Genomic DNA, 18,951 nt, shown 5'->3' with positions numbered 1-18,951 from the left:
CTTTTTCCCTTGGGGACACTGAAAAAACTTTGGGTTATGTCCCCAGGTTTTGATTACAACCCATCACATGAGGTCAGGAAAGAAAGTGTCCACTTGTGGTGTCATCTGGCACTCAAAAAGCTTCAGATTTTGGAGAATGTCAGATTTTGGATTAGGAACACTCAACCTGTAGTATTAAAGGAGGCTGGGGGCCGGACACAGTGGCTCACGCCTGTAATCCCAGCACTTTGGGAGGCCGAGGAGGGCAGATCACCTGAGGTCAGAAGTTTGAGACCAGCCTGGCCAACATGGTGAAACCCCATCACTACTAAAAATACAAAAACTAGCTGGGCGTGGTGGCATGCACCTGTAATCCCAGCTACTCGGGAGGCTGGGGCAGGAGAATCACTTGAACCTGGGAGGCGGAGGTTGCAGTGAGCCAAGATGGCGCCACTGCACTCCAGCCTGGGAGACAGAGTGAGACTCTGTCTCAAAAATAAATAAATGGGCCGGGTGCGGTGGCTCACGCCTGTAATCCCAGCACTTTGGGAGGCCGTGGTGGGCAGATCATGAGCTCAGGAAATCAAGACTATCTTGGCTAACACGGTGAAACCCCATCTCTATTAAAAAAAAAAAAAGAAAAATTAGCCGGGCGTGGTGGCGCGTGGCTGTAGTCCCAGCTACTCAGGAGGCTGAGGCAGGAGAATGGCGTGAATCCGGAGGCGGAGCTTTCAGTGAGCCGTGGTGGCGCCACTGCACTCTAGCCTGGGTGACAGAGCGAGACTCCGTCTCAATAAATAAATAAATAAATAAATAAATAAATAAATAAATAAATAAATAAATAAAAATAAAGTAGGTTGGGGATGAGGGTTGTGAAATGAGGAGGAAGAAATGGAACACAAGCCTAGAGAGGTTTAGCATGCAGGGTACTGCCCATCAACAAAGAGTTTATCCCACAGGCAGGAAGTGCTCATGAAGGATTTTGAGCACAAGAATGACCCTTGATATTGTTCACAGATCACGATGACAGCGTGGACAGACTACATAGTCTCAGCAAGAGGCTCCTGCAATGGCACAAGCAAAAGGTGTGAGAATAGGATGAAGTAGAGGATATGTACAAACCAAAGGTTCACAGCATTTAGTCTGGTGGGACTGGACATGCAGTAAAATGGAGAAGAAAGAGTCTGGCCTGATTCCCAGGCTGGTCATCTGAATCAGTGACTAAATGGGTGAGTGGTGCAATTAACAGGGATGAAAAATACACTTAGAAAATCCTTTTTTTCTCCTCTACTCATTAGTGTTAATATTTACTTTATCCCACTACCACCCCTTTTTTCACTTCAATCTCTTCAATAAAATTAAAAACATAGCTATTCCACTTTCCACATCAACTGTCTGGGTAATATTTGGATTTTCTATGATTTCAGAATAGGTTTATAAGTCTATTTGTTTTGGGTTTTTAAAACATGGTCATCACAGCCGGGCGCGGTGGCTCACGCCTGTAATCCCAGCACTTTGGGAGACCAAGGTGGGCAGATCACAAGGTCAGGAGTTCAAGACCAGCCTGACCAACATGGTGAAACCCCTTCTCTACTAAAAATACAAAAAAAAATTAGCTGGGTGTGGTGGCGCACACCTGTAATCCCAGCCACTCAGGAGGCTGAGGCAGGATAATCACTTGAACCCGGGAGACAGAGGTTGCAGTGAGCCGAGATTGCGCCACTGCATTCCAGCCCGGGCGACAGCGAGACTCTGTCTCAGAAAAAAAAAAAAAAAAGAAAAGAAAAAAATAACAGTCATCAAAATAGTCTTGCTGTCCCATTAATGAAATTGATGTCAACTGCTCCACCAGTTTTCAACTATCCCTCTTCTTTTTCTTCATTTTATGTATTTCAGTTCTCTGGCCCTTCTAGTTTGCCCATCTTCTCTCTACTTCTTAGTTAAGTACCTTTTCTTTCTCCATACTGACTTCTGTATGTTTTTCTAACCCCCATCATGCAGCTGAAACCACTACTTTTTCTGCTAAACAAGCTGCCTCCACTTCACATCAGCTATAATATTCTTTAAGGCTCATTTTCTTCTTTTCAGCTTTCCCCCATTAAGACACTATGGAATCCTCAAATATGATGACAGCCTTTCCTAAACCTAGCTGTAGCTGTTTTGAGGCATTTCCTTTTTTTTTTTTTTTTTTTTTTTTTGAGATGGGGTCTCAGTCACCCAGGCTGGAGTGTGGCGCTATCTTGGCCCACTGCAACCTGCAACCTCCACCTCCTGGCTCAGGTGATCCTCCCACCTCAGCCTCCCAAGTAGCTGGGTCCACAGGTGCAGGCCACCACACCTGGCTAATTTTTTATATTTTTTGTAGACACGGGGTTTCACCATGTTGCCAGGCTAGTCTCGAATTCCTGAGCTCAAGTGATCCAGCCGCCTTGGCCTCCCAAAGTACTGGGATTACAGGCATGAGCCACTGCGCCCAGCCAAGCCATTTCTTCATTGTACTTTTTTTCTCCCTAACTTTTTTTTCTTTTTTAAATAGAGATGGGTGCTCACTGTGTCACCCAAGCTGGAACACAGTAGTGCAATCATAGTTCACTGAAGCCTTGGAACTCCTGGCCTCAAGCAATCCTCCCGCTTCAGCCTCCCAAGCAGCTGGGACTATAGGCGAGAGCCACCATGCCTGGCTGTCCCCAACTTTACATTTTGAAAAACTGAAATCTATTTAAAAAGTGAAAGAATCATAAAATGAACACCCATATGCTCTTACCTAGATTCACCATAGTAAATGTTTTGCCACTTTCGCTTTTTTCTCTACAAATGATTTTTTTTTGAACAATTTAAAAGCAAATTGCAAAAATCACGACATTTCAACATACTAATACTTCATCAGGTATTGCCTAAAAATAAGATCATTTTCCTATATAACCATAATACCATATAGTCACATTCAAGACATTTAACAATGATATAGGCCAGGCACGGTGGCTCACACCTGTAATCCCAGCACTTTGGGAGGCGGAGGTGGGCAGATCACCTGAGGTCGGGAGCTCGAGACCAGCCTGACCAATACGGAGAAACCTCGTCTCTACTAAAAATATAAAATTAGCCCAGTGCGGTGGTGCATGCCTGTAATCCCAGCTACTCGGGAGGCTGAGGCAGGAGAATCGCTTGAACCCGGCAGGCAGAGGTTGCGGTGAGCCGAGATCACGCTATTGCATTCCAGCCTGGGCAACAAGAGCGAAACTCCATCTCAAAAAAAAAAAAAAACAAAAAAAAGGTATAATACCGTCTAATATATACACCATATTCAAATTTTCCCAGTTATCCCCAAAATGTCCTCTATGGTTTTTTGTTTTCTTAATCCAGGCTTGACACTGTACTTGACTGTCATTTCTCTTTCAACTTCTTTCATCTAGAACAGTCTTCCTGCCCTTTTTGTTTCGTTTCGTTTTCACCACTTTGAAATTTTTAGAGTTCAGGCCAACTGTCTTGTAGAAAGTCCCACAAACTGGATTTGTCTGATTGTCTACTATAACTAAGCTCAGCTTAAATTAAACACCTTTAGCAAGAATGTTACATAGGTAATTACTGAATGAATTCTTCAAATATTTCTCAGTGTTTGTTCATTTAGAATTTCAGTCTCTTGGGCTGACATTGTCTAGACACTGCAAAAAAACCTTCATGAACTGTTAGCAATTAGTAAATCTAGTAATGATCATCAAAGAAATACATTATCTTGTCCAGCCATCCAGTATATCTTTCTGTGCCCAATTTAAAGATCCTGGTTACCAAGTTAAACCCTCTTCAAACAACAAACGAAGACTCAAGAAACTAAAAGACTTCAGGATAATCTAAAGTGCCAACAAAACAAAATTGAATATGGGGAACTAAAAGTTCTCTCTACATTCATCTGGATAACCAGATAGAATATAAGGGTAACTAAGAAAGATACCACTTAGGTTAGGTTGAAAGTTTTAGGCCTCAGTTTTGAAATGTAAAATGCTGCTAAATTTTAACATTAAGACTATAAAAGGCAGGGCGCAGTGGCTCACACCGTAATCCCAGCACTTTGGGAGACAAAGGCAAGAGGATCGCTTGAGCCCAGGAGTTCAAGACCAGCCTCAACAACAGGGCGAAACTCCACCTCTATAAAAAATACCAAAATTAGGCCAGGCTCGGTGGCTCACGCCTGTAATCCCAGCACTTTGGGAGGCCGAGACGGGCGGATCACGAGGTCAGGAGACCGAGACCATCCTGGCTAACACAGTGAAACCCCGTCTCTACTAAAAATACAAAAAAAAATTAGCCGGGCATGGTGGCAGGTGCCTGTAGTCCCAGCTACTCAGGAGGCTGAGGCAGGAGAATGGCATGAACCCGGGAGGCAGAGCTTGCAGTGAGCCGAGATTGCGCCACTGCACTCCAGCCTGGACGACAGAGCGAGACTCTGTCACAAAAAAAAAAAAAAAAAAAAAATTAGTTGGACACGGTGGCGTATGCTATGCCTGTGGTTCCAACTACTCGGGAGGCTGAGGTGGATCACCTGAGCCCAGGAAGCTGAAGCTGCAGCGAGCCATGATCGCGCCACTGTACTCCAGCCTGGGCAACAGAGCGAGACCCTGTCCCCCACCAAAAAAAACTATAAACGGGCATTATAGTCTAGTAATGATTGCACCAAAGGATGGTAATGATTCTAAGACATCCCTTTATTCCCATTAGTCATTTAGCAATTAAGTAGCAGCAAAGTTCCAAAATGACTACAAATCCCGGAATTAAATGAATAATTTTGTCTCTAATAGAGACATGTCTAAAAATCAGCTTTTTTTTTTTTTTTTTTTTTTTTTTTGAGACAGAGTCTTGCTCTGTCACCCAGACTAGAGTGCAGTGGCGCAATCTCAGTTCACTGCAACTTCTGCCTCCCAGATTCAAACGATTCTCCTACCTCAGCCTCCTAAGTAGCTGGGACTACAGGTGTGCACCACCATGCCTAGTTAATTTTTGTATTTTTAATAGGGACTGGGTTTCGCCACGTTGGCCGGACCTCAGGTGATCCACCCACCTCGGCTTCCCAAAGTACTGGGATTATAGGCGTGAGCCACCACGCCTGGCCTAAAAATTAGCTTTTTCCAAAAATGTTACCTTAATAGAAAGACATTCAATTCCTAGTATCAAATACTGCTTAGGAAAAGGTCTTTAATTAATTATTTCACTTTAAGTAATGAGTCCTTAGCATTTTTCTCTCAGAGTCCCTTGTTTTTTTCACTTTACAGTAAGATGTGATTAGTATGTTACTTTACAAATATGACGTTAGACGCCAGAATAATGGTTACAAGTGTCATATTTTCCCCACTGTTGCCCATTTAGGGATGGAAACCAGTGGACTGAACGTGAACTCATGCTTGTTTCTGGGATTCTGGTAATCTATTTATTTTGGTTGAGTGGTTACATGGGTATGTGGGTGCTAAATTTGTAAAAACTCACTAAGCTGTACATTTATAATTTGTACATTTTCCCATATACACTCCAGTAAAAGTTATGGTACACTAAAAATTACGTAAGGCAAAAAAAATTTTTAATCCTATTTTAAAATGCAATAAAAGAGAGAAAGCTTAATTATCAAATGTCAGACCATAAATAAAGCTTTGATCACAACCAATAACGTATAGGTAAGAAAGAATACTTTATCCTTGCTCAAAAAGAAAAAAATTAAGTGTTTAAATTAAGATGCCCTTTCAGAGGTTCCAGATTTCTACTCAGATGTATGAATCTCGATTAGCACTGATTTTGAATGTTTCAAAAGTTTGGCAGCTTGTTAATCACAATGGTAAATGAAGCATAAATTAAACAAATACTGTTGACAAATCCAGGAGATATCAACTTTAAAACGTATTCACATTGAAAATTTATACTTGAAAATGTTTCTTCTGGGTTGGTATTGTATCAAGTGACTAATGTGTCCCCACTGAAAATATAAAGAACCAAAATATTAATATAAGCACTCTAAAACCATTTCCATGCTGATTGAAACCATTATGGAAATATTTAGGTAAAATTACAATATTTATGTTAAAATAATATGAAATATTTGCATAACAAAAGCTTTAATATGTGTGATCCATTTTCCTTTGAATTCAAAATATACCTGCAGATGGAAACACACAAAGGTATTAAAAGCAGTTATTTCTGCTGGGAAGGAATATGAAGTCTTTCTTTTCTTCCCTTTCTGATTTTCAAATTGTATAAGTAGCAGGATTAAGCTTATATTTAAGAGAAAAAATTTTAAACCCTCGGTAAATCCATTATGGATATAAAAAAGGGAGAGTCGGGGGAGAGTTGTGGAAAGAAATGAAGTATAGGTACCAGAGATTGAAATCGGGTTTAGGGTATATTTGTAGAAATAGCAATTTTTGTCCACACTAATATTAAAATATTTTAAGAAAGCCATAAGCACAATATTCCCAGTGCCACGATATTAAAGAAACAGTAGCCTGCCATGTGTGGTAAAAATGGTACAGTACTCTGTGAATACACAATATATTTGAATTCTAAGAGAAAGGGAGAAATGTATCAGCACCTTACTAAAAAGAAATCTGACTTTTCTGTTAAACCCCATCTGGCCATAAAGTAACAAAATAAGACAATGGATTCTCTATATTTGTCATGTAATTCCTACTGAAATTTCCTTGTTGCTTCTGAAAAGATTCATTCCAGGGAAATAAACTGCTTTTATAAAAATCACTGTCAAAGAAAAAACATGTCCTTAAACAGGAAAAGGAACGTGGAAACTAGAAAAAAAAATAAAGCAGACAGAATATCACAATTTAATCATTTGGGTGCCTAGTTCTCTGGCTTAGATACCAGTTATGGTGCCCCAGTGCATATAAACTGCTCTAAAGGCTCACAGAAATGCTACTTTTAAAGCAAAGAAGAAATGAATGAGCAACCTACTAGGGTACATTGCAGATGGCACTCAATAAACATTTAATGAATGAGTAAAATCATAAGAAGGTTTAAACATAAAATAAACACCTTCAACAGATAGAGAAGAAATCTGCTGCCTAGGGAGTACCAGACAGAACTGTGCTGATCTCTTCACATTGTTACCGACGAGATTTCACCCACATATCCATTATGCTGTAGAATAGGTATTCACCTGACTAGGAACAGTTTTGTAGCTTATAATTTCACATACTTTCTGATATTTTCAAATGTTAATGATATCTCTACTAACTACTTCTGTAGTAAGCGATCTATTACCAACCTATTATCATGTCTCAAAGTACTACCTTAACTTGACCTTTTCACATGCTTTATGTCACTTGCATGACCCAGGCTTGACAGGGAAGGTATTATTAACCCTATTTTACAGATGAGTTTTTTTTTTTTTTTTGGCTTGAGACTGAGTTTCACTCTTGTCGCCCAGGCTACAGTACAGTGGCACAATCTTGGCTCACTATAGCCTCTGCCTCCTGGGTTCAAGCGATTCTCCTGCCTCAGCCTCCCAAGTAGCTGGCATTACAGGTGTGAGCCACCACGCCCAGCCACATCCTTCAATTTAAGAAAGCTGCTATTTAAAGGACACCTAAAATACAAACCTCTCCCACATACCCACTCTTCTCCAAAATTTGCTCAAATAGAACAATTAGGTACACTTTAAAGTTAACAGGAAATGACAGAAACAAAAATAGCTGGGGTGTGGTATCACCTCTGAAAAAGCTTTCAAGCTGTGAATAAATGCAGACAGCTGTGACTAAACAAGATAGCATCAGACCAGGGTTTAGTACCCGTTACAATGGACCTTAGCTATGCACACGTGACACCTCATTTTCTTCAACTATTTCAAACTCTGGAAAACCCTGAAAAAAGCACCATAAGTCATCATGAAGCCACAAATGCTGTGGTCAAGCTCTTATGCCGAAGTTTTTATATAGGAGAGAAATCCATACATTCTAAGGACCTGAAATTATTTCTATTTCATTTATTTAAGAGCAGTCTTAAAAGTACACAATATTCGGTAATTAATTTTGGTAAAGAACAAATTTGCATCCTGCAGGATATGATGACAGTGTTTATTTAATAATAAGCATGCGTAGCAATAAACCAGCCCCTGCTTTTTTTTTTTTTTTTTTTTTAGAGAGAGTTTCACTCTGTTGCCCAGACTGGAATGCAGTGGCACCATTTTGGCTCACTGCAACCTCCGCCTCCCGGGTTCAAGCAATTCTCGTGCCTCAGACTCCCAAGTAGCTGGGATTACAGTGCCCGCCACCATGCCCAGCTAATTTTTGTATGTTTAGTAGAGATGGAGTTTCGCCATGTTGGCCAGGCTGGTTTCGAACTCCTGACCTCAGTGATCTGCCTATATGGGCCTTCCAAAGTGCTGGGGTTACAGGCGTGAGCCACCATGCCTGCCCCTAGCCCCTGCATTTTAACTTTTTTATTTTATTACATTTTATTTTACAATATTTATTACTATATTTAAGGGTCATTTAAGATTTTTAATCTTCTTTTGATCTTATGGCATGTTATGGTGGAAATTACATGGCACAATGGTGATTTGATTGTGAGATTCCTGAGGGCTGCACTAAGCTTCACTAAGATCCTATTTATTCTGACTTGACCCACAGTTCTGGCTTATCTGGTTTCCCTGCCTACTTCAGCTAAGACGTAGCAGATTAGAAAGCAGTTAAGGGCATATTTTGACAGAAAACAGTACTGGAGAGAGAAACTAAAAGCAAACAAAACACTGAACTGGTATAGCATTGCGAAGTCATTTTAGTACAGGACGAAACTGCTAACAACTTTATACAGCAGAACGCACCGGCCATATTAACAGCACAGTACAGAAATTAATGTACATAATGACCTTGATTCCTCAAAAAAGGTTATGTTAAGTACACTCTGAATCTTAAGAGAGGGCTATATACTTCTTATAGGCTATACACTAATAATATGAAGACACATTTAAATGGTCACAATAATTTAGCTGTTCAGGGGATAATGTCAGTTAGATGAACAATTCAGTTAAACCTCTAACGATAGCATACAAATGCTAAGCAGATAAATCTCAAAAATCCCATTATAATTATGTAGTACAGATAATTAACATTTATGAGGCTGATTTGGGGAGAGAGGGGGGAAACCTAAGTTATACACTAAAATTCTTCCCCCTCCCTGAACATGCAATAAGGCGTTTCACCTTTTAAAAATGTATTCCCGTCACTAGTATTAGTTGCCTTTCTCCTTCTAATACCAAAATGAAAAAGAAGAAAAGTATCTTAATAATTTTCCCCACTGTCACGCTAACCCCTGCATCCAGAGGCCACTAACACAGCTGGTCTAAGTCTATTCCCTTCTTACAAAATAGCGCTTTCAAACCGATTGTTAATCTCAGAGAGAAGGGTTGTGCCTAAGACTTACGGCTGAATAAAAGCAGCACATAAATTAGTGGTTATGTGTAATCCATCTTCTTAGTTTAAAGGGAGAAACAACTATAACCTAAAACTCTACAAGATTTAGAGAGCAAAGAGCCCTTTACATTTTGTTCTTATAACAACAACAGAAATCTAACGCAGGTACACATATGAATCAGAAAACGTCATTCTCCAAGTCTTTATAACCAAAGGGAAAATAAAATACCATTACCCTGTCAAGAGCTCCGTAAACTTATTTTAAACATCATATAATGGATTTATCTGACTTGTTCATACTAAGTTTATTCCAGTAATAGCAGTGACTTGCAATGATCTAGAGAAAGCGGGTCAAAAGGCACATGGTATACGTCCTAAAAAAGGGTGGGGGGCGGACGTCAAGAAAGATCTAATCTTAAATATCTTACTTGGAAGAGTCGACTCCCTGCTCACACCACCCCCGATGGCTTCCCCCGAGTCGTTTCTTAAAGAGAAAAAAAGACAGGGATCCGGGCCCTTCGGGGCGGTGGGAGAAGAAGTCCCCACTGCACCCTGAACCCTTCGGGAGGGAACTTGGCACTGACGGCCAGGCACCTGACCAGGTGCAGCAGAAAACGCCGGGTCCGGGTGGCTGCTCTCGGAGGCTGCCGCCCGGCTCTGTCTACACCCCTCCGAGCCCTCCTAGGGTGGGCGCAGCCCGGCCCCAGCCTCCCTCCGCCCCGAGCCGCCGCCCAGCCGAAGGCCGTTTCCCGCGGGTCCCAGAGGAAGGCCCGGCCCGCCAGGCACCTTTGATGACGCGGTCGGTGGTGGAGAGGTGGAAGCGCCTCCCGGACATGGTCCCCTCGGCCTCCTCCAGGCTCCAGGAGCCCGCCGGACGTGCGCCTACGCCGCGGCCGCCGCCTTCTCCTCGGGCAGCCTTAGCTGCCCGGAGCCGTCAGCCAGCCGTGCCCGGCCCCGGCTCCTCAGCGGTGTCCGAGCACCAGAAGGGCGCGGCCACCGCAGCGCCGGCCTCCGACGCCACTGACAGGACGAGGGCCCACCGGCCGCTCTCTTGGGAGGCGCCAGCGGCTAAGGCGGGGAACACCGCTTCGGCACCGACCGCGACCGCTGCTAAGGGTGGCGACCGGGACGGCCGCGGCTGCTCGCGGCCCGGGCCCTCGTGCACGCAAGCGCGCCCCCGAGCGCCGCTCTCACAACTTCCCAGCGGCCCCGCTGTCCTAGCGGACCCGGCCGGGCCTCCCGCCCCGAGCGCCGCCCTCCCCACCCTTCCGCCTTCCCGCGAGGCAGTAGAGCTCGGCGCACGCGCTGCTCTCGGCTCCTCCGGCTCCGGGTCCCTGCTGCTAACCGCCCATTTTCGCTTCTTCTCAGCCAGCCCTCCCCGCAGCCGGCCCCTTCTCTCCTGCCAGCCCCTACCCGGGCCCGGAACATCTGAAACCCGCCCGCGTGGCCCGCGCGACCCGCGCGGGAGGCCGGCCCGGCCATCTTGCGACCCGGCCCTGCGGCCTCGCAGCGGCTCCGCGCCGCCTCCTGGGACCGCCTCGCCGAGAACCCCTGGCCTCCCAGTCCTCGCCCACAGGCGACCACCCTCCTCACCTCTGGGTCTCCCACCCGCTTTGTCTCAAGGAGTGTGATCAGTCCGGCCGCGCTCCTTCAGTTTTTGTGGGTCATTCAACAAACGCACACATTTAAACCCCCTCGCTTCATCTTTCCCGCTTGTTGAGTGCAGTTAGTACAATGAGAAGGACATTCGTGTCCATCCTAGTTCCAGTCCAGTAGCTAGGGCGGTGGGGGATTGGGGGAGCTCCGTTTCTGAGCAAGGCTCTGCTCCCTCCTCACTTTCCACATCGAAGAGAAGGGAGATCTCTGCTCCTGGGACCCCCGGGCCGGACCTCCTCGGCCACAAGAACTGACCTCTTCCTATGCCCTGTGTGTCACCTGCCCAGCTAGAAGCCCCTTTTTTCTTCCCCCTGACACAGTACCTGCCTCCCCGGCCCAGGCTCACTGTGGAACCCCATGGGCAAGTCCGTAGAAACTTAACAGTCTGTTCATCTCGAGGTTAAAAACTAACCTTTATCTGTCCTTAAAACTGTAAGCCTAGAACAGAAACTGGCTCCAACTGTCCTCTCACTGAGTAACTGGCAAAGTCAAAAGGATTTTGACTTTTAGCAATGCAAATGAAATATTGAAACTGATGTCCAATAAAACATATGCAAGTTACAGGCAAAACCAGTCTTAACAATTACCGCAGTGACCGATAAGTAGTTGTAGCTATGTAAATTTAAATTAATCCCGTTCCTCTAGGGGACTAGCCACATTTCAAGTGTTCAAGAGCTACACGCGGCTACCTTATTGGACATCCAGAAAATTCTACTGGACAGCTGTTAGGTAAAAGATTATAGGATTAAGCGTAAATCTCCAATAATATGGATTTATGTATAGGCGGTCTGGGGATATATAGTGGAATCAGACCCTGAATTATCCCTTGGAATTTTGACCATAGCTCTTTGATGGTAACCGCAGGAGGCAAAAGGACTTTAGGAGCCGACTAGAATTTGGTTTTCGTTTTCATGATCCTTGAGTCTTCCACCCAAGAGAATTGTTCAGATATCCTGGGGAAACTCTTCATTTAAGAAGTAACCAGAACTCCACGCCTATCAAATCATACCCCTGGGTCAGAGGCTAAAATTCATCTGGAAGAACCTCAACAGGATAGCTAAAAATAAAAAGTTTAAGAAAACATTGCGGGCCGGCAAAAAAGAAAAAAAAAAAGACCGGGTGGGGTGGCTCACGCCTGTAATCCCAGCACTTTGGGAGGCCGAGGTGGGTGGATCACGAGGTCAGGAGATCGAGGCCATCCTGGCTAACACGGTGCAACCCCGTCTCTACTAAAAATACAAAAAATTAGCCGGGCGTGGTGGCAGGCGCCTGTAGTCCTAGCTACTTGGAAGACTAAGGCAGGAGAATGGCGTGAACCCGGGAGGCGGAGCTTGCAGTGAGCCGAGATCGCGCCACTGCACCACTCCAGCCTGGGCAATAGAGCGAGACTCCGTCTCAAAAAAAAAATAAAATAAAGAAAGAAAGAAGGAAAGAAAGAAAAAACATTGCGGGCCGGGCAAGGTGGCTCACGCCTGTAATCCCAGCACTTTGGGAGGCCAAGGCAGGCGGATCACCTGAAGTCAGGGGTTTGAAAACAGCCTGGCCAACGTGGTGAAACCCCGTCTCTACTAAAAATACAAAAATTAGCCTAGCGTGGTGGCACATGCCTGTAATCCCAGCTACTCGAGAGGCTGAGGGAGGAGAATCGCTTGAATCCGGGAGGCGGAGGTTCCAGTGAGCCAAGATTACGCCCCGGCACTCCAGCCTGGGTGACAGAGCGAGACTGTCTCCAAAAAGAAAAAAAGAAAAAGAAAACGTTGCAGGCCGGGCACAGTGGCTAATGCCTGTAATCCCAGCACTTTGGAAGGCTGAGGTGGGCGAATCACCTGAGGTCACGAGTTTGAGACCAGCCTGGCCAACGTGGCAAAAACTCATCTCTGCTAAAAATACAAAAATTAGCTGGGCGTGGTGGTGGACGCCTGTAGTCCCAGCTACTCGGGACGCTGAGGCAGGAGAATCGCTCGAACCCGGGAGGCGGAGGTTGCAGAGAGCCAAGATGGTGCCACCGCATTCCAGCCTGGGCACAGAGACAGACTCCATCTATCTCAAACACAAAACCAAAAAACCCCACAAATACTAACTCGTTCAATCCTCACACCAACCCCATTTATATGATTATCCCCATTTTACAGATAAGGAAACTGAGGCACAGAGATGTGAAGAAACTTGCCCAAAGTCACAGAGCTGGTAGGAGGCTTAGTGAACACCATCATCGTCAAGAGACGTGCAGTACCTGAACTTTTTCTATAGCACCACGAACTTTTTCTATAGCACCACGTGGAATATGCGGCATGAGTCCTCAAGCATGGTATACATGAATTTACAGAATCCAGATGTCATTCTGTAGCTTGGCTTTAGCAAAGTAATTGTGAGCAACTTGCAGCCCTGTCCCTTCGTGTCCCCACCCCCACTTTTTTTTTTTTTTTTTTTTGAGACGGAGTCTCGCTCTGTCACCAGGCTGGAGAGCAGTGGCGTGATCTCAGCTCACTGCAAACTCCACCTCCTGGGTTCAAGTGATTCTCCTTCCTCAGCCTCCCAAGTAGCTGGGACTACAGTCGCATGCCACCACACCCAGCTAATTTTTTTGTATTTTTAGTATTTTTAGTAGAGATGGGGTTTCACCATGTTGGCCAGGGTGGTCTCGATTTCCTGACCTCGTGATCTGCCCGCCTCGGCCTTCCCCACCCCTTTCTAAGGAGATTCACTCAGTAGCTCTGCCTTTCTCCAAGTTCCTTGCTGGTCCTCTGTTTCAATAGCTGCTTAGTCTTCCAGCAACAGCCAGTGACACCCAACAGACCTTGATACCATCACTTCCAGCTGTGGGCATGGGTAAGTTCCTTCACTTCTCAGGCCTTGCTTTCCTCTTTTGTAATATGGGGATGATAATATTAATAGGCCCTCCCTGTAGCAGAGGCGGGGATGCCCTGCCCAGATCCCCTTCACCATGAGGGATAACCATCTTCTGGTTGCTGCTGTTTTTGTTTTTGTTTTTGTTTTTGTTCTAAGAGAGAGATGAGGTCTTGCTCTGTTGCCCAGGCTGGAGTGAAGTGGTGCCATCATAGCTCACTGAAGCCTTGAACTGCTGGGCTCAAGTGATCCTCCTGCATCGGCCTCTCAAAGTACTGGGATTATAGGCATGAGCTACCGTACTCTGCCTGTTTCTTGAGGGCTGGTGGCTGACAGTTCATTGCTGCCCCTTCTCCAGAGAATTGCCTTAGGTTGAATGGGCGCCCCTTCCCCTAAGGAGTTATGACCATCCCTCCCCCAGTCCTAGGGGCAATGGCTATCAGGGCCTCCAGGTCAGACTAAGTTTGCCTCAAGGTAAGAATATCTTTGTGGTACAACTCAGGCTCCAGAGCTTGCTGTGAGAACAGACTGAACTATAGGAACACATTAAATGAGGTTCATTTTATTTGGATGTTATGAGATGGCCCCAACTTGAGATCTAAATACAGTAGTCGGTTAATTTTTCCATTACTATTATTGAATAATACATCCCTTCCCATTGGTTTGCAATGTTTTCTTTTCTTTTTCTTTTCTTTTCTTTTTTTTTTTTCTTTTAATTGAGACAGAGTCTCACTCTGTCGCCCAGGCTGCCCAGGCTGGAGTGCAGTGGCACAATCTAGGTTCACTGCAACCTCCGCCTCCCCGGTTCAAGCAATTCTCCCTGCCTCAGCCTCCCGATAGCTGGGATTGCAGCCCTGCTCCTAATAGTTCTCCTCACTTTCTATCTCTGTGTTTGGAAGAGGGCGTTAGATCCATGGATTTCTCCGGGAGGAAACCAGGTTGGAAAGGCTTTGATCTGTATAAGCTGAGACCACCAGAAACCTTCACCCATCGCATTGGTGCTTTCCCATCCTAGTAGAGGTTTCAAAAGACTTTGGGTTGTTTGGGGCAGACACAGGGAACGTGTCTTGCTCTCTGCGGGAATCCATCTCAACTGATTCTGTAATAGAATCAGCTATTCTCAGGGCATAAAGGCTGGGAGTGAATAGGGGCTAACCCTCCGCTGCATCAGCTTCTTAACTGGTCCCTGAGTCTTTGGTCTTGACCTCTTATCTTCATCCATTGTCCACATTGACCCCAGAATCAACTTTTTTTTTTTTTGAGATAAGGTCTCACTCTGTCCCCCAGGCTGGAGTGTCCCCCAGGCTGGAGTGGCATGATTACAGCTCACTGCAGCCTCAACCTCCCAGGCTCAAGCAATCCTTCCACCTTAGCCTCCTGAGTAGCTGAGACTGCAGGTGTACACCACCACACTCAGCTAATTTTTTAAATTTTTTGTAGAGACTCGGTCTTGCAATGTTGCCCAGGCTGGGCTCCAACTCCTGGCCTCAAGCAATGCTCCTGCCTCAGCCCCCCAAAGTACTGGGACTACAGGTGTGAGCCACCATACCTGGCCCAGAGTCAACTTTGTACAGAAAATCTGACTATTGACTCTGCTCCTCATCTCCCTTCAGTGGCTCCCTGGCGCCCTTGGGATCGAGTTTGAACCCTTTAACCTGGCCCAACAGTTCCTTCCCAGCCTGACCCTGACTCACCTCTACAGCTTCTCTCTGTCCGTAGCCCCATGAGATCTTTCAGGCCGGCCACTTGAAACCATTTGCTATGTTTTTTCAGGGCTGCAGCCCTCTAAGGAAGGATGGGATGTGAACAGCAAGGAGGAAGGGAGGTGTCCTAGGTTGGGCAAAGCTGTACAGAGGCATGGGGTTGGAATATAGTGGATATGTTCAGGGCTCCACTCCTTTGGATATTTGATCCTTATATCCTGGAAACACCCTTCCTTCTCTACTTCGACTCACAAGTTCAGCCATGCCCTTAAGATCCAGCCCTGTTATACTCACCTCTCTGAAGCCTTTCTTAATCCATCCAGGTAGAGGTAAAGCCTTCCTCTGTGGACCAAGAGCGTTTTGTAAACAGATCAACCACCTAATGCATGGAGGATATTATTTATTCACATGTGGCTGTTTTCCCCACCTAGACTATTAAGGCAGAGACTATATCCAGTTTCTTCTTTTTTAAAAATTGTCATTTATTTATGTATTTTGAGACAGGATCTTCTCTGTTGCCCAGGCTAGAGTGCAGTGGCACCGTCATAGCTCACTGCAGCCTCCAACTCCTAGCCTCTAGCAATCCTCCCACTTCAGCCTCCTGAGTAGCTGGGACTACAGACACACACCACTAGGCCCAGCTTTTTTTAATTTCTTTTTTGCAGAGATGGGGCCTTGCTATGTTGCCCAGTCTGTCTGGAACTCCTGGCCTCAAGTGGTCCTTCCACATCGGCCTGCCTCCTAAAGTGCTGGGATTTACAGGCATGAGCCACTGCACCCAGCCTATATTTCCAGTTTCTAGCATGGCCCATTTATATTGTGGTTGCTCAGTAGGTGTTTGTGGATATAATGAATCACTAATCACCTCCATTCCTTATATGTAATAATTTAGTATGCCTCAGTAGATAAAGTTTGATTCAAAAGATAACTGGCCAATTGGAGTATCTAAGAGGCCAAAGACCAAGGATTCATATGGACCAACATTATTATATTACAGGTGAGGGAAATGAGTCCAGAGACATCAAGCCACTTACCCACTGTCACACAGGTAGTTCAAAGTACAACTTGAACCCAACTCTGCTCTCAGAATTTTTTAAATGCTTTAAATATATATTTTTAAAAGTAACACATGCCCATGGTTTAACAAAATTAAAGGCTGGGCATGGTGCTCATGCCTGTAATCCCAGCACTTTGGGAAGCCGAGGTGGGTGGATCACCTGAGGTCAGGAGTTCGAGGCCAGCCTGGCCAACATGGTGAGACCCCCATCTCTGCTAAAAATACAAAAAATTAGCCAGGCGTGGTGGCGCACGCCTGTAGTCCCAGCTACTCAGGAGGCTGGGGCAGGAGAATTGCTTGAACCCAGGAGGCGGAGGTTGCGGTGAGCCGAGATTGCACCACTGCACTCCACCCTGGGCGAGTAAGACTCAGTATCAAAAAAAAAAAAAGAAAAAAAAAGAAAAGAAAAAAATTAAATACTGCAAAAGTATGTAGAAGAAAAGTAAATTCTCACTTATTTCCCTGCCCTCAGTTTCCTTCTTTTTTTTTCTTTTAATGCTTCACAAATGTGTGTGTCATCCTTGCACAGGAGCCATGGTAATCTTCTCTGTATCATTCCTATTTTAGTATGTGTGCTGTGGAAAAGAGCACCCAGCTTCCCTCCTATAAGCAGTTCATTATTTTTTTTTAGATGTTAATTGTAAAATTCCATAGAATGGAATACTATTCAGCTAATAAAAGAGAAATAATTACTGCTACAGGCAACAACATGAATGAACCTCTAAAATACATTACGCTGAGCAAAAGAAGCAAGCCACAAAATGATATCTACTATATGATTTCATCCATATAGGAAAAATGGTTACATGAAATATGATTGAATGGAACATCATGCAGTTAGGAAATACCATATTTTAAATTAGAAAAATATTTAATGACATGAGAAAAGCCTCAGGAGATACTGAAAAGTGAAAAAGCTAAAATATAACCATATATATACAGTATTGTCCCCATTTTTATTAACAAACATGGCTGGCTCAGTTACTCGGGAGGCTTAGACAGGATAATCGCTTCAACCCAAGCGGCAGAGGTTGCAGTGAGCTGAGATGGCACCATTGCACTCCAGCCTGGGCAACAGAGCAAAACTCCATCTAAAAAAACAAAAACAAAAACATAAACATGGCCGAGTGCAGTGGCTCACGCCTGTAATCTCAGCACTTTGGAGGCCAAGGCGGGAAGATCACTTGAGCTCAGGAGGTTGAGACCAGCTTGGGCAATATGGTGAAACCGCGTCTCTATAAAAAATACAGAAAAATTAGCTAGGTGTGGTGGCATGCGCCTGTGGTCCCAGCTACTTGGGAGGCTGAGATGGGAGGATTGCTTGGGAGGCTGAGGTGGGCGGTCTCTGAGGTTAAGGCTGCAGTGAGCCAAGATCGCATCACTGCATTCCAGCCTTGGTGACAGAGTGAGACCCTGTCTCAAAAAAAAAAAAAAAAAAAAAGCATAAAATAAAAGTCTTAAGCCAGGCATAGTGGTATTCACCTGTAGTCCCAGCTGCTTGGGAGGCTGAGGCAGGAGGATCTATTGAGCCCAGGAGTTTGAGGTCATATTACACTATTTTCTTGCCTGTGAATAGCCACTGCACTCCATCCTGGACAACATAGCAAGACTCCATTTCTTTAAAAATAAAAGACCTCAAGAAAATATTAATATACTCATTCAACAAGTATGAATTAGGTGTGGACTGTGTGCCAGGCACTGTGTTAAGGATATGGAAACGAACCAAAACTGACATAATTCATACCCTCACTGAGCATAATCTATCAAGGAAAAAAATGTGAACAGTAGCCATCACTTGGTGGTGTAATAAAAAAAATTTCTTTATCTTTCCAATTTTCTGTGGTGAGAAAGTATTGCTTTATAAATAGGTGAAAATAAGGCCAGGTGCAGAGGCTCATGACTGTAATCCCAGCACTTTGGGAGGCTGAGGCACAAGGATCGCTTGAGCCCAGGAGTTCCAGACCGGCCTGGGCAATGACATAGGGAGACCCCATCTTTACCAAAAATTTTTTTTAAAAATTAGCCAGGTGGCCGAGCACGATGGTTAATGCCTATAATCCCAGCACTTTGGGAGGCTGAGGTGGGTGGATCACCTGAGGTCAGGAGTTCGAGACCAACCTGTCCAACATGGTAAAACCCATCTCTACAAAAAAAAAAAAAAAACAAAATAGCCGGGTGTTGTGGCGGGTGCCTGTAATCCCAGCTACTTGGGAGGCTGAGACAGGAGAATCGCTTGAACCTGGGAGCCGGAGGTTGCAGTGAGCTGAGATCATGCCATTGCACTCCAGCGTGGGCAACAAGAGCGGGA

General features: G+C 44.9%; 2 protein-coding genes and 1 pseudogene across 7 annotated transcripts in view, besides 3 other annotated features; all 3 read right to left on the bottom strand.

The window, feature by feature from the left end:
• Positions 1 to 10,547, bottom strand: part of PPP3CC (protein phosphatase 3 catalytic subunit gamma) — a 100,048-nt gene extending 89,501 nt beyond the window's left edge. For all 6 annotated transcript variants that reach the window (XR_007060744.1, NM_001243974.2, XM_047421941.1 and 3 more), the window contains exon 1: positions 10,167 to 10,547. Coding sequence is in view for 5 of the 6 variants with exons in the window: in NM_001243974.2 (NP_001230903.1) it covers positions 10,167 to 10,215 (49 nt within the window). In the remaining variant the exon portion in view is untranslated. The remainder of the gene's footprint in view (positions 1 to 10,166) is intronic.
• Positions 6,992 to 7,151: an enhancer, noted in NCBI's record as "active region_27079". NCBI's record gives its function as "activates an Ori minimal core promoter by ATAC-STARR-seq in GM12878 lymphoblastoid cells {active_cell/tissue: GM12878}" and the evidence as "EXISTENCE:reporter gene assay evidence [ECO:0000049][PMID:35858748]".
• Positions 10,025 to 10,684: a silencer, noted in NCBI's record as "silent region_18986". NCBI's record gives its function as "represses an Ori minimal core promoter by ATAC-STARR-seq in GM12878 lymphoblastoid cells {active_cell/tissue: GM12878}" and the evidence as "EXISTENCE:reporter gene assay evidence [ECO:0000049][PMID:35858748]".
• Positions 10,775 to 10,964: a silencer, noted in NCBI's record as "silent region_18985". NCBI's record gives its function as "represses an Ori minimal core promoter by ATAC-STARR-seq in GM12878 lymphoblastoid cells {active_cell/tissue: GM12878}" and the evidence as "EXISTENCE:reporter gene assay evidence [ECO:0000049][PMID:35858748]".
• On the bottom strand, positions 17,128 to 17,234 carry RNU6-336P (RNA, U6 small nuclear 336, pseudogene; annotated as a pseudogene).
• The window catches only part of SLC39A14 (solute carrier family 39 member 14), a 66,852-nt gene continuing 65,396 nt past the window's right edge, over positions 17,496 to 18,951 (bottom strand). The window contains exon 9 of the mRNA NM_001135154.3: positions 17,496 to 17,734. Within this exon, the coding sequence (NP_001128626.1) occupies positions 17,621 to 17,734 (114 nt within the window). The 3' untranslated portion in view covers positions 17,496 to 17,620. The remainder of the gene's footprint in view (positions 17,735 to 18,951) is intronic.

Source organism: Homo sapiens, chromosome 8, assembly GCF_000001405.40.
Source record: "Homo sapiens chromosome 8, GRCh38.p14 Primary Assembly".
NCBI lineage: Eukaryota > Metazoa > Chordata > Mammalia > Primates > Hominidae > Homo > Homo sapiens.
Note: the sequence above shows the minus strand (reverse complement) of the source record. Positions and strands in the feature narration are given on the sequence as shown.